This window comes from Homo sapiens, chromosome Y, assembly GCF_000001405.40.
Source record: "Homo sapiens chromosome Y, GRCh38.p14 Primary Assembly".
Lineage (NCBI taxonomy): Eukaryota > Metazoa > Chordata > Mammalia > Primates > Hominidae > Homo > Homo sapiens.
In genome coordinates, this window is record NC_000024.10 from 12,902,811 (window position 1) to 12,920,901 (window position 18,091).

General features: G+C 37.9%; 1 protein-coding gene across 17 annotated transcripts; it reads left to right on the forward strand.

Moving 5' to 3' along the window:
* On the forward strand, positions 1,189-17,668 carry DDX3Y (DEAD-box helicase 3 Y-linked). 17 transcript variants are annotated; one of them, XM_047442775.1, is made up of 18 exons: positions 1,189-1,604; positions 2,048-2,171; positions 4,727-4,784; positions 6,550-6,597; positions 9,029-9,158; positions 9,917-10,072; positions 10,153-10,252; positions 10,908-11,043; positions 11,754-11,839; positions 12,074-12,172; positions 12,257-12,417; positions 12,820-12,964; positions 13,073-13,217; positions 13,451-13,632; positions 13,707-13,824; positions 14,097-14,250; positions 14,593-14,732; positions 15,233-17,668. In XM_047442775.1, exons 2-18 carry the CDS (start codon positions 2,127-2,129, stop codon positions 15,310-15,312), a joined length of 1,983 nt encoding a protein of 660 aa, XP_047298731.1. In that variant the 5' UTR covers positions 1,189-1,604; positions 2,048-2,126; the 3' UTR covers positions 15,313-17,668. The 17 variants fall into 17 exon arrangements, 8 of the variants coding, with proteins under 8 accessions (XP_047298731.1, NP_001116137.1, NP_004651.2 ...); NM_001122665.3 differs by having other exon boundaries at positions 2,125-2,171; NR_136721.2 differs by lacking the exon at positions 1,189-1,604 and having other exon boundaries at positions 2,058-2,171; positions 12,274-12,417.

Sequence of the window (18,091 nt, forward strand, 5' to 3'; positions counted from 1 at the left end):
TTACATGCCAAAATACATATTTTATTATAAATATTCTTTTAATTATATAATAATTAGGTTTGTTAGGGGCCAGAGGGGTGTCATTGTGCATCATTTGAGTTTATTTCTTTGGGAGGCAAAGAGAGAGGAAAGGAAGGTCAAAAATGGAGAAGGCCAATAAATTTATTTTATATCACGTGTGAATTTAACTTGAGAATGGTAAAGGTGTCGACACAAAATATGTTATAAAAAAGGAAATCTAGTTGACAACTTTAACTTGCCAAAGCAGTAAACCAACTTCACTCTGGGAACACTGAATAGAAAGTGTATGTTCCAATCACTTTGAATGTTTTAATTTTAAATTCGGAAAAGCAGAAATATTTGTGATAATGTTTTGAGAATGGAGGTATTTGAATTTTAGCACTAGGAAACCCTTTGAAGGACGGTGTAAAATCTGGATATTTAATCTGGTTTCGCTGAGAGTTCAGAGGGAAGAAGTGTTTGTAAAACCACGTATATGGCTATTAGTTAAAGCCAGGAATCTAGTACTAAGCTTTTTTTTTTTTTTTTTTTTTTTTTCCTGCCTGTCTGCTGAATCTGGACTAGAGGGAGGACTGAGAATTTGGCCAAAAAAAGTAACTCCTTCTAGGGCAAAAGACTATTTCCCACCCACTGCAGCGCCTGTAAGTTGTTACGAACGTAGGACAACTTTGGTGTAGTGGTTCCTTCAGTAGGCCGATCCCCCTCAACCCTCATTCTTTTGGGCAACCAAAAGAGTCTTTCACAATCCCATGGCTAGGCTGGCTTTGGGGACGTAGTATAGCACTGGTTAACCTAGGTTGCAGGGTGCCCAGAAAAACAAGGGACCTATGCCAGTGTGCGTTAAGGGCCTAGGTCCCCCGGTAGGTGTGTTATCACCAGGGTCATTCAGTATATAATTGTTTCATTGTTTCGTGAAAACAAGGGACCTATGCCAGGGTGCGTTAAGGGCCTAGGCCTAGGTCCCCTTGTAGGTGTGTTATAATCAACGTCATTCAGTATGTAATTGTTTCATTGTTTCTTCATCACTATGCCAGGGTGCGTTAAGGGCCTAGGCCTAGGTCCCCTGGTAGGTGTGTTATCATCAACGTCATTCAGTATGTAATTGTTTCATTGTTTCTTCATCACTATGCCAGGGTGCGTTAAGGGCCTAGGCCTAGGTCCCCTGGTAGGTGTGTTATCATCAACGTCATTCAGTATGTAATTGTTTCATTGTTTCTTCATCCTGTGATGCTAAAGCCGTATGCTCATAAAGCGCAGGCACACCGGTAGAAAAACTAGAGGGGTCTGGAGTTCCTAGGTGAACCCCAGCAGCCTAACCCTGTCAAGTCTGTCGAGCCTCTGGCTGGTCACACGTGCTGCGGAATCCACTCAGCTTTCCTCAGGTGCAGTCAGGTCCATCCTGCAGAGGGACCTTCTGCGGACCTGTTCTTTCACCTCCCTAACCTGAAGATTGTATTCAAACCACCGTGGATCGCTCACGTAAAATGGTCACTGCGCCTAACACCTGGGATCCCGTAACCCTTATCTATCTTGGCTTCAGAGAGTTTTTTGACTAGTTCCAACTTTGCTGAAGCTTGTCAAAGGTAGGTGACGGCTAGTTGGAACGGAAAAATTTTACGAAACTTCCTATTCTCAGAAGTAAAAGGGAAGAGAGAGTGCTTAAGGAAGAAGGGAAGTTGAGGGTGGGTAAGGAGGGAGCGGGAGTTAGTGGTAGATTGTCACTGTGTTTAAGATTTCCCCAAGGCGAAAAAGGCGAAAGATATCTTGCTAGATCCCTAGAATTCGAAGGCATTAGGAGAGGGCGGGGATAGCAAACATCGCGCGAATTTTGAGAGGCGCTGGGACTACGTAATCCCGCGATCTTATGACTAAACGAACGCGATTTAGGGAGAAGTAACGGTAGCGATAAAGGGATTGGGTGGTGGTGGTGGAGGGGTGGAGCCAACGATTACGCACGTTGTGCGTGCTGTCGTATAGCTGTGGGAGGGGCCATATTACCGCGTAGGCTAACCAGTGCGCTTAATAGCTGTAGGTCCAGTGTAAGAGTTCCGCTATTCGGTCTCACACCTACAGTGGACTACCCGATTTTTCGCTTCTCTTCAGGGATGAGTCATGTGGTGGTGAAAAATGACCCTGAACTGGACCAGCAGGTGAGTCAAAGTAAGCCTACCGAGGCTTTCTACGGGACCCTTTACTTGGCCTGACGGTTTGTGGCGCACTGTTAATTGGTTTTTCAGTTTCACTTCTGGTGGGTTCGTGTGTTATGTGACTGGGACTCTAGGGAAATGGGGAGAGAAACTGCATGAGACCATGACAAGACCACGTACGGAAGGGATCGTGCGATGGCAGTAACGTTAATGGTAGTGGTTACGCTGGTATTCTGGTATAGTACTGGGCCTCACGCAATGGCGGCTTTTGTGTTTGCTTGTCCCGTGGAGACGCGCATGTGCGACCACGAACCCGTTTGTGAGGGGGCGGGGGAGGGAGGCGGTTCGCAAAAGCGGACCGTTTTTATGTCCAGGGTGAGGCTCTTATCTGGCGCCCCTGACGTATTCGCAGTAGTGTCATTGTTAAGAAGAAAGTGTATTCAGGCCACCCAGTTTGTGTAGCGAGAAGAAAGAGTAGTATGGTCTTTGCTCGGGCAAATGGCCAGAGTCTTTGTGTATACAATTGTGTGACTTGGCAGCGCTGTGTTCCTTGAGCAGAGGGGCCAGGCCTGTGGAATTCTTGAAGACGAGTGACTATAATATAGCACAACGTAACAAGTATCCTGTATCTTGTTTCTGGTGGGGTCCCGTAGCCACGGAGCAACCGTTGCCCGGGTGCTGAGCGTGCCGAAACTGGGCTTCCGGTATGGAAAGTTTTGTGACGCAGAAGGACCGGAAAGGGATGGTGGGGAGGGTAGGGAAGGATGGCTGCCGCGTGCTTCTCTTGACCCTGTAGAAATAATGGAAATTGGACGCCCGCGGAAAGACACCTGGAAGGTTAGAGATCCAGCATTGCGCTACACCCCTTTGTTAATTCAGTCACTGGACAGCCGCCTAGCCGAGAGCTGTGCGGTTTTTATATGGTATTGTATCTTTACTTTAGGCGATACATGCAGAAGTCGTCCGGTAGAAAACTAACCTCGAATGTTGATTAGCGGGACAGGTTATTTGTGGTTTACTTTCTTGTTATCGCCGAAGGATTGTTGATATAGGTTTAACTGTGTTTCCATTAAGGGCAGATCCTTTGGAAGTTTGGGCGATGAGGCAGAAGATAGGTGGTCTACGTGTTAGATCAGGCTCGTTTTCTGTGTCAGGAACCTACCGCGCTTTTGCATTTGGCACACCAGTCGTTTGCAAGCTTATCCCTGCATTTCTGCCTCCCAAGTCTAGGGGAGAGAATGAATAAAGAGCATACATTTTTTTTTTAACCAAAAAATACCGTCGGAACTTCTTAGTTGTAATTAAAGCTTAGTGATGCTAAATGATTTTAAATTTTGCTGTTAGGTGTCGTTTGAGGGATTTAATGGTCTGCCTTTGAAGGTTATTTTTCCACTGACGACGTATTAACGCCTGCAGTTTACTGAGACTTGACGTGTTAAATAGACCACAGAAATAGAAAATTAAGAGCCTGGGCAATACGCATTTATGTTTTCTATGTAATTGGCATCCCTTTAACTCTTGATAAACCGTGCTGTCTAGTTCACTAGAATTAAGTAGTAAATTCAGATGGCAAGATTTTTAAGTACAGTAGTATCTTAATTGATGATTCATGTAATGTGATAGTATCTTGAACTTATATATGTAAGCTTTCTACGGCATAGAAAGTTTGTGCAAAAAGGTGACCAAGGTGCTCTTGGCATTGGTCTTAACGTGTTTTTTGAAAAAAATCTATTTTAACGTACATGGTTTTTTCCCCCACCCCCGCCACCGCTTCAGAGTTGTTCTAGGTAAGGTATTATGCTGAAAGCCCTTAAAGCGAAATAACCTTTTTTCTAGTTTTAAAATCCATCAGTATAAGGAGGCATGAATTGAGATTGGATATGTCATTTTAGAAACATTAAATACGAGATGTGTTGCTTTTTAACTTCGCAACCAAAGACCTCCGAATTTGATGTTTAGAATGGGAGAAATAAATGCTACCATCTCCATAAAGTATCGAACATTAAGTGACAGCTGTGTAAAGCCGCGTAGTACTCAAAACATAGTGAAGTTTTTTTTTTTTTTTGAGCTTTTGATGTTTAGGAATTTATCTGCATTAAAAATAGTTGTACCGTCTTCAGGGCAAAGATAAATTAAGGAATCTTCAAATGATTTTAATGTCCATTTATTTTTAGGGTTAGAATATCAAGAAAACCACTGTCATTGGGAACATTTCACTATCATGACTGTAGCTAAATTGGATGTTGAAGTTACTGAGAAATTGATGGTAAATTTTTTTAGTTAGGAAAGTTTTCACTTCGGAAAATTGTTAAGGAAAATTTGTTTTGAATTAATGAATTTGAACTCATTACTGTGAAACTGCTGGTATTCAGCTGATGCCATTTGCATTTGTCATGGTTGGTAGACCTGGACATCTTTAAAATTTGGCAGGTAATACCAGGCCGACATGGCAGCTAAGTTTGTGGTACAGGATAAGATTGGAATCTAGGTCTCATTTGTCTTTTGTGATGTTATCTGTTCTTGTGTATCAGCATGTGAGCTATTGATATCTCTTCTAGCTTGCTAATCTGGACCTGAACTCTGAAAAACAGAGTGGAGGAGCAAGTACAGCGAGCAGTAAGTAAAACTTTTTTTAAAAATGGAGTGTTTATCAGAGCTTAATGTTAATGTCTTACTGGACTTGTTAATTTTAAATTTACATTTTTTTCTTTACAACTTGACTATATGAAAATATGAGATATTTTGGTGTGTCTGGGTAATAAAATACACTGTTTACCTATGTCTGCTGAAAATACAAAAAATTATCCTGGCGCTGTGGTACGTGCTTGTAGTCCCAGCTACTCATGAGGCTGAGATGGGAGAATTTGCTTAAGCCTGGGAGGCTGGAAGCTTCAGTGAGCTGAGATCAGGCCACTGCACTCCAGCATGGGCTACAGAGACCTTGACTCAAAAAACAAAACAAAAAACCAAGAACCTTAATGTAATACACATTATTTTTAGAAAAGCAGTGCCATTCATTTCTGGCCCAGCATGGGATATAAGCCCATCCTTGTGAATTGACCTGCATTGTGTTAAACCTAATGAAAGAACTTTAACCTGTGCATTTATGTGCTACACCTACTGCTGTTGCCGACGAAGAACCTAACATTCAGTGATAAAACCAAGCTCATCTGATTTTAAGGTGATGAGTTAGCTATATTCCTGTGAAAGGAAATTAGTTATAAAGACATTCTTTTGAAATACTTGGTCTTGTTTGGTTTTGGAAGATTGGGTGAGGTTAGTATTTGGATAGGAGAGTAAGGCTGGTGGTTATTCAGTAGTATCCCTGGTTTGAGTCCAGGTTTCTTACTGTTGTTCAACAAGGAAAGTAGTTGGTATGCTTTGAAACAAAACAAAACAGAACACTTTTAAGTTTTATAAATTTATTTCAAACTTTGTCGTTATATGAACATTACAGATATTTAAATGGTAGAGACATTTTTGGATATTTAGTTAAATCCAAAAGTAGGAGGTTTAGTTCAAATTTGGATTTTTGAGTTACAAAATCAGGTAGTTAAGTACTGTCTACTTCATAAGTTCTTTTACTTCTTAATCATAGACTGGCCTGTTGATTTAACTGAAAACACTTGATTTGTTTTCCAGATCATTTTCACTTTCCAACTTTTCATGTGTTTTTATGGTATCACTTTAATCTACCAGTACAGAATTTTTTTTCTTTTTTTGAGACGGAGTCTCGCTCTGTCGCCCAGGCTGGAGTGCAGTGGCGCGATCTCGGCTCACCCCAAGCTCCCCCTCCCAGGTTCATGCCATTCTCCTGCCTCAGCCTCCTGAGTAGCTGGGACTGCAGGTGCCGGCCACCATGCCCGGCTAATTTTTTCTATTTTTTTTTAGTAGAGACAGGGTTTCACCTTGTTAGCCAGGATGGTCTCGATCTCCTGACCTCGTGATCTGCCCGCCTTGGCCTCCCAAAGTGCTGGGATTACAGGCGTGAGCCACCGTGACCAGCCCAGTACAGATTTTTTAAAAGCCTCTTACTGGTTAGTTAATTTAGTATAGCACATAAGAGTCTTTTTTCCCTAGTAGGCTTTTATACTGGGGTAATTACCATGTTTAATGGTCAGTGTTGATTCATGAAGCAGTTATTGGAAATAGATCCTTTTAAAAGATAATTGTTAGATAACCACTACTAGCTACTGAAATATTTGTGGTTTGCAATGTATTTTAGAGTAAGCATTTTTTCCGCTCATCTTGCAAAGTAGTTTATTGTATAAAATACAGGTTTTAAAAGTTTGTTTTCCAGGACCTATTTTTTAATAGACATTTTCTAAAAGCAGTATCTTGGCGATGTTATAGGCTTCTAATTTTACATTTTCTCTTTTAGAAGGGCGCTATATACCTCCTCACTTAAGGAACAGAGAAGCATCTAAAGGTACGTCTTTAAGGCAACTTTGTAGACCTAACCTTTAGCAGCTAATCAAAGCCTAGGGAAGAAAGTAACTTTAGGAGGTCTATAAATGTTTTTTGTCCCCTCCTGTGCCTCTTTCAGACTGTCTTTAAGAACTAGCACTTTCTGTTTTTGGAACAGTTTGTATAATGTTGAATGATGGATAGTTGTTTCCTTTGGCAAACTGAGCCCAAAGAATCTGAGTTTTGTATAGTGGTTTATCTGTTTGTAAACATTTATGTTTTGAAATTTGAAACCAGTGTATTTGTGGAAATGCCTTACGTAAAAGAAACTGTGTAGTGATAAAGACCTGCTTGCTGCTGTCTGGAAAAGTTAGCACAGCAAAAGTGGGTTTTTTTTTTTTTAGACTAGTTAACAGTTGTTAAGATTACCACTTTTGGCCACATCCAATAAGCTGGTGAGATTGTCTGGTTTCAGCCTAAACAACTTCATTTGAAAGGTGTTGCATGAAATGCCTTAAAACACTTAGGATGGTTTACTATTAAATTTGTAATTTAGAAAAGTTTAATTGGGGTGATGTTTTGAGTGCTGCATATACATCAAAAAAATTCTAGGAGAAGGAAAGGTCAGGAAAAGTATTTAAAACCAAAAGGAAAGAAGGTAATGATAAAGGGGTGTGGAGTGGGTTTGTATTTCTATGTTTAGTCTGTAGCCTCTTTAGGTCTGTTTATCAGAAGACCACTTAGCTAATGATTGTATTATTTTTTCAGAATAACTGGAGAATTGTTATTCTGAAAAAATATTGCATCTGGCTGGAATTGCATCAAAGGTTTATTAACTGCCTTAAGGAGAGTTGGCAATATTTTAGTATTTGAGGGGATGGAAGAGACCTTAAACATCTAACTTCCTAAATCTGGGAAGTACAATCGATTTAGTACAATAGATCTAGATTTAGGAAGTACAATTATTCATTTGTCTAATATTGGAGATTTAAAAGCAGGGGAAAATAACTTTATTAACTTGTAACTTTAAACATTCATTGAAATGTTTGAATTTAGGTAAGTGTGTGGTTGTGAAGTGAGTTTACTCTTGTCATTTTTTTTTTATCAGTTTGTAGACATGGAAAGTAGGCAACAATGAGGGTTTTTTTGTTTTAACACAAGTATACCTTATTCTTAACGAGCATATTAAGATTACATAGTTACTTTTGGACTTTTAGAATTTGAGGCTATTTTAGAGGTCTGGTAGAGCAAAGTAGACAACATGGAAATTCCTTGTTTTGTATTGACTACTTCCATTTAGCTGATCTGTTTCTTTTTGGTGTTACTAGACAAAGCTAGATTTTAAAAGATGAATTAAGATGCTCAGCTAACTAGTCCTGTTTATAGTATTGTTGATAGATAGCAAGTTGACTTCTCCAGGTTCTTCATTGAATGAGTCCTTGTTTACTATGATGCTTGCTACATACAGTTGCTACATACTACTATGTATGAGTAGTTTTTGGTCATAAACTGCATAGAGTTGGAGCTGTTTTTTTTTTTTTTTGAGACGGAGTCTTGCTGTGTTGTCCAGGCTGGAGTACAGTGGCGCGATCTCAGCTCACTGCAAGCTCCACCTCTTGGGTTCATGCCATTCTCCTGCCTCAGGCTCCTGAGTAGCTGGGACTACATAGGTGCCCGCCACCATGCCCAGCTAATTTTTTTGTATTTTTAGTAGAGACGGGGTTTCACCGTGTTAGCCAGGATGGTCTTGATCTCCTGACCTTGTGATCTGCCTGCCTTAGCCTCCCAAAGTGCTGGGATTACAGGTGTGAGCCATCCCTGTTTTAATCCATCTGACATATTTCTTCTGATTATGTAGCTCTCTTAGTTCAAGCTTTTCTGTAGGTAACCCACAGTCCCTGAGGTAATCTTTTACTTAGCTGGGCCTTCCCAAAATGTGTATTATATATAGCATATGTTAAATGTTTAGGTTTAACACCTTTTGTATTATTCAGGATTTGTCAAGGATGGGACATAACTAAGAAACTAACAATGGGCTTGCACTAGCTACAAGTTCAGCTTAAAAATTGGGAACTTGGAATCCCTCTTAGTCATAGCTTAAAAAAAGACTCATCTTAAATAATTTAATTGGAGTAGGTTTATATTTTGGATATGTAACATTTACACTTAAAAAATGAATGAAAAAAATTGTTACGATAGTATAGTATTAATAGCATAGCTATGTTACATGCAAGCTACCTTGTTCTCAGGTCATGAGATTACTTTGCTTCATATAATAATCTCTGGTGGAAGAAAACATTAAAGCTTTTAACAATTCTGCTTATGGGACTTGTAGACCATTGGTCCCATAAAGATAACATAAAGGAAGACTACATGTGAAGGACTTCATATTTTGAAAGATGCAAATTATTCAAAAGTCTTGTCACCTTCTGATTTTTGCTTTTTTATTGAAGGATTCCATGATAAAGACAGTTCAGGTTGGAGTTGCAGCAAAGATAAGGATGCATATAGCAGTTTTGGGTCTCGAGATTCTAGAGGAAAGCCTGGTTATTTCAGTGAACGTGGAAGTGGATCAAGGGGAAGGTAAATCTCAGCTTGTGTTTGTATACAGTAGAAATTTAGAAATTTTAATTTGGTAGGTTCTCATTCTTCATACTTTCAGTGGTCAAGCATATCTTTAACAGATTACTAATGGATTTAAAGCAGAATGTTGGTTTACTCATTGTTTTGTTAGCAGTAAGAGGTCTTTATTAATTTATTAAATTAGATGAATATGGTATTTGACACAGTGAAATCTGTTTCAACTTAAATGATACTTAAAGCCTGTCTGTGACAGCTTTAAACACTTCATTTTTGATGTGTGTTATAAGTTGATCTTAAAAACCTAATGGCTGTATTTAATCCTTTCTGTTTTTCACAAATAGGAGTAAAACTCTAAAAATATTCTCTTGTCACATGTCTACTTTCATATAAAGGAGAAATTCAAGTGTTATTCCTGCTTTCCTACTAGTAAATATATTTAGATGATACTATTTTAAATGAAGATGTAAAGTACGTAACTAGTTATAAGTATCTAAAAACCTAATTCTTAGCATGTGAGGTCTAAGCTGTGTGATTTTATAAAAATTTTTATAATTTTCTTAAAAATGAAGACATAAATTACATTTTAAGTACTGGTTAATTAGAGGGCCTTACTTCACATGAGAAACGAATATTGAATTGCCAGTATCTTCGAAGGGTGGTTGTGTTCAGTAATTCAACTGATACCCAAGTACGTTTCTAGAGCGATGATAATCTAACATGGGCTAAATCGTGTACTTCTGATTGCTTGTGCTATTCAGATTTGATGATCGTGGACGGAGTGACTATGATGGTATTGGCAATCGTGAAAGACCTGGCTTTGGCAGATTTGAACGGAGTGGACATAGTCGTTGGTGTGACAAGTCAGTTGAAGATGATTGGTCAAAACCACTTCCACCAAGTGAACGCTTGGAGCAGTAAGTTTTTGAAATGTATGTTAATTGTTATGAAATTTATTGCTTAGTATAACATGTATGTAATAATTGTTTGATTTCAGAGAACTGTTTTCTGGAGGAAACACGGGGATTAACTTTGAGAAATATGATGATATACCAGTAGAGGCAACCGGCAGTAACTGTCCTCCACATATTGAGAATGTAAGTTTTTTGTTTGACTCTTAAAGTTATTAATGCAAACCCATTGGATTATGAAAAAAAAATTAATGTCATTGTTAAGAATAATCCTGGAATTAAAAATTTACCAAACTTATGAAGCATCCATTATTTTTATTTATTTATTTTTTTGAGACAGATTCTGTTCTGTCACGCAGGCTGGAGTGCAGTGGCATGATCTGAGCTCACTGCATCCTCCTTCCTGGGTTCAGGCCATTCTCCCACCTCAACCTCTTAAGTAGCTGGGACTACAGGTGCACACCACCACACCCAGCTCATTTTTGTACTTTTAGTAGAGACAGGGTTTCGCCATGTTGGCCAGGCTGGTCTCAAATTCCTGATCTCAAGTGATCTTCATGCCTTAGCCTCCCAGAGTGCTGGGACTACAGGCATCAGCCACCATACCTGGCCTCCAAAAACTTTTTTCAATGTAGATTAAACCCAGGCATTTTCTTAAAAAATGCCATGAATCTTTTACTGAAATCATAGCATCTGTAAACTAAATCAGACAGTTTAGTTGGTTACTTCCATTAATATGTTAGTATAAAACAGAAATTGCGACAGATACAGCATTTTATATCTGCTATGTTTACTTCTGTATTTACTTGTATTTGATTAACCTGGTTAAATTTCTTGGCAGTTTAGCGATATTGACATGGGAGAAATTATCATGGGGAACATTGAACTTACTCGCTATACTCGTCCTACTCCAGTGCAAAAACATGCCATTCCTATTATTAAGGGAAAAAGAGACTTAATGGCTTGTGCCCAAACAGGTAAGCTTACTCAATACAAAGTGAAAGTTAAGAATACCTGATCAGACTTACTTTAAAAGTAGTATGTTCTGAAGGGGATGTCTGAATCCTGTGTTTAGCATTTGAGGTAGGTAAAGATTAGCTGAGGATGTGTCTTTTTGTGTATACCTTTGGATCCTTGGGATGAAACTAATATTTTTATCTGGACATCTTGAGGAAGCTTATGGCAAAATCTTCTTTAAGAAATAGAACTGCGTATTTTACAGTTAACTCCACGGGAGTTAGCAAACTGCAGCCTTTAGGTCAAACCTAGCTCTTGTTTATTTTTCAATAGCTGTATTGAAATATAGCCATACCCATTGGTTACGTCTATAGCTGTAGAGGTTAGCCAGAGATGTGGCAGAGAGACTGGCCTGCAAGAGCCATGTGGCTCTTTACAGAAAGTTCACTGACCCCTGTTTTACCTTCTAACAGTATGTAGTGATTACAAAGAAATGTTGAACTGAAAGTTGATGCCACTTTTCAGAAAAATGGTTGTGTTTTGTACAAATTGAAATACATTGTTTAAAAATAAAGCACAGTACTCACTTTAGGTTTGCCATATAAATTTACTGTAACTTCCTAGAAAATTGGAAATAAAGTAAGAAAAATTTTCTTACAATTCAAGGGCATTTAGAACCCTTTGTCATCTGTTAATATTCAGAAATGATAAGCCAGTGTTTTGTTTTCAGGATCTGGGAAAACTGCAGCATTTCTTTTACCCATACTGAGTCAGATATATACAGATGGTCCAGGAGAAGCTTTGAAGGCTGTGAAGGTAAAGGTTTTGTTATAAAATCAGACATTTTTGTTTTAAAAAGCTTTGCAAAGCCCTGTTGACTTTTCTAACGGATGCCAGATACACCTTATTTTCATTTTTTTTTTTTTACCCCTTTCACCCACTGAAAATAAGTTTGTAGATGTAATCTGCAAATTATAAAGAGAAAGTGATGAATTTTTAAAAACAATTGAAGTTTTGGGTTATGAATTTAAAATTATATTTATGTTTTAGGAAAATGGAAGGTATGGGCGCCGCAAACAATATCCAATATCCTTGGTTTTAGCCCCAACAAGAGAATTGGCTGTACAGATCTATGAGGAAGCCAGAAAAGTAAAATATTCATTTTAGTGATTATTGCTTTTCTTATTTGTCAAATGATGTTGTTATAGTCACTGACATGTTCTTTGCTTAAAGTTTTCCTACCGATCTAGAGTTCGTCCTTGTGTAGTTTATGGTGGTGCTGATATTGGTCAGCAGATTCGGGACTTAGAACGTGGATGCCACTTGTTAGTAGCCACTCCAGGACGTCTAGTGGATATGATGGAAAGAGGAAAGATTGGATTAGACTTCTGCAAGTATGTCAGTTTTTATATATGGGGTGCATCTATTTCTGTATTAAAAGTTGATTACTTTTGTTGTATTTTACTAGTACTGCTTTAACTTCAATAATTTAATTTTCTACATAGTTTTGAAAATTGCAGTTAACGTTTTTGTAAAGAGTAAGTGAAATTTTATTTGAGGCTCTGAGCTTCATTTTAACAATCAACATGGGTAATTCGGTTGTTACCTTGAGCATTTCATCTCATGATTTTGTGTGTGTTTGTGTGTGTATGCATTTGTTGAGTATATGTCAAATTGTGACACTGCAATAGTTACTACTTGAGTTACTATATTAGTGCAATTAATTACACAACTATATATAGTAATTAGTTTCTCAGATCTAATAATCCAGTATCAACTGAGGGTTTTCGTAATAGGTACTTAGTGTTGGATGAAGCTGATAGGATGCTGGATATGGGATTTGAACCTCAGATACGTCGTATAGTTGAACAAGATACTATGCCACCAAAGGGCGTTCGTCACACCATGATGTTTAGTGCTACTTTTCCTAAGGAAATACAGGTACTGTTTGACGTTTGAACTTTCATTCAGAACATTTGTGTTTATTCATTATCTTCAGATAATTTATGTATTAAAATAGGTAATTGAGTATTTTTCTCACTGTTTCAGATGCTTGCTCGTGACTTTTTGGATGAATATATCTTTTTGGCTGTAGGCAGAGTAGGCTCTACCTCTGAGAACATCACACAGAAAGTAGTTTGGGTGGAAGACTTAGATAAACGGTCATTTCTACTGGACATTTTAGGTGCAACAGGTAAATTATGAATAAGAATAGTGTCAGTTACATGTAAAGATAATCTCTTTACATATCTTCTGGCCTTTCCTGTCTTTCTAAACATGGCTAAAACAATGCTTACATTAATTGGCTCTGTTTGCATGCATCCAAGATGTATTTTAGCACAAGGACTAGAATTAAGCCAGTTAATAATTTAGATTAAGTAGTGATGCTAATTCACTGTGAGTAAACAAAGCCTTATAATTTTTCAGGGAGTGATTCACTTACTTTAGTGTTTGTGGAGACCAAAAAGGGAGCAGATTCCCTGGAGGATTTCTTATACCATGAAGGATATGCTTGTACTAGTATTCATGGAGACCGGTCACAGAGAGATCGAGAGGAGGCCCTTCACCAGTTTCGCTCAGGAAAAAGCCCAATTCTAGTGGCTACAGCTGTATGTATATTTTATTTTTTAATTTATCATGTGTGGATAGTGCTTTTTTTTTTTAAAAGAAGTTAATTTTTCAGGTGGCAGCACGAGGACTAGACATTTCAAATGTGAGACATGTTATCAATTTTGATTTGCCAAGTGATATTGAAGAATATGTGCATCGTATTGGCCGTACAGGACGTGTAGGAAACCTGGGTAAGGGGTTTGTTAGTTCATTTTTTTTTAATTGTGATGCATACAGCCAGGATTTGACACAGAATCTTAAAAATAGAATGTTTATTTTTGAGGTAAAATTTCATATCAGATTAATCAGCCAAGTAAAAGTTTTTCTTTCAGTATCTTTGATTTGGTTATATTACAAATTACAATGTCGTATTTTAGTTTCTTTCTTACTATATTTTATACAGGAATATAAGAATACTCCACTACTTTATGGAAACTTCATGTACTTTTTTTGAACACTTTAGGCCTTGCCACCTCATTCTTTAATGAAAAAAATATGAATATTACAAAGGATTTGTTGGATCTTCTTGTAGAAGCTAAACAAGAAGTGCCTTCTTGGTTGGAAAATATGGCTTATGAACACCACTACAAGGGTGGCAGTCGTGGACGATCTAAAAGGTACACACTGTTTCGAGCCTTCACTCTTGTTATTGCTTACTAGGGGCAAGAAGCTTTCAGAGTTAACTTAAAAGTGTTAAACAGTTATTTTCAACAATAATAAACATTTTGGGCAAGGGATGATTATTAGAGAGGGTGACAAGGAATTAAGTGTTAGGTCCTTACTCCTGAGTCCTTTAGAAACACTGTTAGAACACATTGGGACATTAATGGGATGGTTCCCATTGGAACATAATGGAATTGAACTGAAAAATCAAATTGGGAATTGCAGGGTTTAAGCAGTAATTTTCAGTTTAATTGAACTTTGTACTTAACACTGCCATGCCATATTTTTGCTTACAGTAATAGATTCAGTGGAGGATTTGGTGCCAGAGACTATCGACAAAGTAGTGGTTCCAGCAGTTCTGGCTTTGGTGCTAGTCGCGGAAGCAGCAGCCGCAGTGGTGGAGGTGGTTACGGCAACAGCAGAGGATTTGGTGGAGGTAATGTTAATTTTTCTTTTAGGAAGGGCTTTTTGTTTTTCTTTTTTTTTTTTTTTTGAGATGGAGTCCCACTCTGTCACTCAAGCTGGAGTGCAGTGGCCTGATCTCGGCTCACTGGAAGTGACTCTCCTGCCTCAGCCTCCTAAGTAGGTGGGATTACAGGTGGGTGGCAACATGCCCAGCTCATTTTTTTCTATTTTTAATAGAGATGGGGTTTCACCATGTTGGCCAGGCTGGTCTCTACCTCCTGACCTCATGATCCACACACCTTGGCCTCCCGAAGTGCTGGGATTACAGGCTTGAGCCACCGTGCCTGGCCTAGGCTCTTTGTTTTTCTTACGAGTTCTCTTTTTCAAAGCATAATTCATTGGGGAGATTTGATTTCTGAGGGACACAAAATCCAACTCTAGATTTCTTTTACTGGTTTTATGTTAAAGTACTTGAGAAAAAAAAGGTATTAACGAATGACTTAATTTCTCTCTAAACATTTTTCTTGATAGGTGGCTATGGAGGCTTCTACAATAGTGATGGATATGGAGGAAATTATAACTCCCAGGGGGTTGACTGGTGGGGCAACTGAATCTGCTTTGCAGCAAAGTCACCCTTACAAAGAAGCTAATATGGAAACCACATGTAACTTAGCCAGACTATATTGTGTAGCTTCAAGAACTTGCAGTACATTACCAGCTGTGATTCTCCTGATAATTCAAGGGAGCTCAAAGTCACAAGAAGAAAAATGAAAGGAAAAAACAGCAGCCCTATTCAGAAATTGGTTTGAAGATGTAATTGCTCTAGTTTGGATTAAACTCTTCCCCTCCTGCTTTAGTGCCACCCCAAACTGCATTTATAATTTTGTGACTGAGGATCGTTTGTTTGTTAACGTACTGTGACTTTAACTTTAGACAACTTACTACTTTGATGTCCTGTTGGCTCAGTAATGCTCACGATACCAATTGTTTTGACAAAATAAATTTACTAAACTTGGCCTAAAATCAAACCTTGGCACAGAGGTATGATACAACTTTAACAGGAGTCATCAATTCATCCATAAATATAAAAAGGGAAAAAAACTTAAGGCAGTAGTCTGCATTAGGACTGTTTGAGTTTTGCAGACTTGGGGTTGGGAGAACATCTTAAAGCATTAAAGCATAGTTTTTTGTATGGCCAACCTTACTAAATTAAGTTCTGACTTGCTCACTCTATCCTGGATAGGCACTTGGGAACTTACACTCTTTAAGCCATTCCAGTCATGATGAGGTGGAATGTATCAGTATACCAATTAATATTTTTGAAAGAGCTCTTTTAGGTTAATTTAAGTACAGCAATTTCTCATGTAATGTTTAGGGAGTTTATTCTAACCTAGGCAAACGGCATGCTATCACAAGAAAGGTTTAAAGCTTTGATAAAATGGGGGAGATTTAATCAGTTTTTTTAATGCCTGCTATAAAAATTTGAAATATTAGAATGGCCGACCATGGCAGTGACCAGGCCTCACTACAGGCCTGGTTGGATTCTGGTCTTTAATGCATGCTAGTGTTGATGTTTTTTGGTCAAGAACGGTTTAAACAGGAAGGATTGTGCAGCAGGCTTTAATTTAATGTAGATTCATACTGCTCTGTTAAAGCTGCATTGAAATGTTAAAATGGCTTACACTTGCAGACTTTGCAAATCTTAAGACTAACAAATCCTTGAAATCACACAGCTTGCAAATACGTACTAAACTGCACAAGGTGTGTGTTCTATATGTGCAGTTTTAGCGTATTTTAGTTGCATAGGTTTCCATGGTATTTATAGTCTCTTGTGCTAAATTTGGCCAAAGATGATTGTCCACCACTAAAAATGCCTCTCCCACTTGGAATTCTGTACTGATTTTGTGGCCAGATGCAATGATCTTTAAAAACAAATCTTTTCAATGGCATAAGAAGTTGACAAAAATTTCTTAAAGTGCAATAGATTTTCAAGTGTATTGTGCCTTGTTCTAAAACTTTTAAGTAGGTGCACTTGACAGTATTGAGGTCATTTGTTAAGGTGCTATTTCAATTAGTGTAGGTTTAGACTCTTGTACATTTCTCCCATAACTTTTTACAAAGTATTTTGTTGCACATTCAGAGAATTTTATATATATATGTCTTGTGTGGGTGTCCTCGACCTTCCAATCTTATTTCGTCTCTTGGAGATTGTTGAATGCAGCCAGTGAAGAAGTAGATTCCTAAATTTTATTGGGGACCATGGAATGGTAGTTGAGAAGAAAACTATTTGCACACAACAGATTTTAGATACTTTTTGCTGCTAGTTGTGTAATATTTATTGAACATTTTGACAAATATTTATTTTTGTAAGCCTAAAAATGATTCTTTGAAAGTTTAAAGAAACTTGACCAAAAGACAGTACAAAAAACACTGGCACTTGAATGTTGAATGTCACCGTATGTGAAATAATATATTTTGGGGTAGTGTGAGCTTTTAATGTTAAGTCTGTTAAACTTGAGTCAAATTAAGCAGACCCGGCATTGGCAATGTAGCTGTAATTTTCTGACAAAATTTAAGACAAAATTGTCAACTTGAAACTAAAACATGCCAAGGTTTTGATATACTTGTCTTAAGATATTAATGAAACACTTCTGAACACTGATAGGAAGTGTCCACATCCACAAAGTTTCTCTTGAGTTTTGTTATGTGTTTTGTTGTGTTTGATTTTCAGTGATTGTCTGGTATATTTACAGTCCTCAAACATGGTTATTTCTGTCAGTGACTTAACATTCGGTTTTATCAGCCAGCAGTATTCTTCAGTAAATAAAGAATGGAATTGCTGAATGTAATCATTGAACCTCGAGTCACTGTAAAAGTTCAGTAATTGCTTATTGTATTAGTTTTAGATGCTGGCACTGCATGTGCTCTGTTTATTCTGATTTTACTAAAATAAAAAGTTCAAAAGTCTTCCTGCTGTCACTTGTAGCTTAATGTTGAGTTGAAGATGAACTTGTGCTCTTAACCTGAAGATTGGAAATCTGATTTCTTGGCTACCTACCAAAGCTGTTTGTGAAATACCGTCCTGAGGCTAGAAGTACTTCTTTGCCTTAATGACGAAGGTGGTAGAAGGTTGGAGTTGTGAGGCAGGATTTGTGTTCTGACTGATGTGAATCTAAAAGGTCTATACATGCAGCATATATTGCATTTTGGTCTAAGCAACTTAATATGAGTGTGATTGCTATTTTAAGCATTTTTGATGTGAAAGATGGCTGAACTAAATGAATTGGGTAAAAAGTCAGTTGCCTAACAAATTACTTTTTGATTGTAAGTAGTTACTTAAGGTCAAGAATTAATTGGAGTAGGTTAATGATAGCTGAGAATCGCATAAGC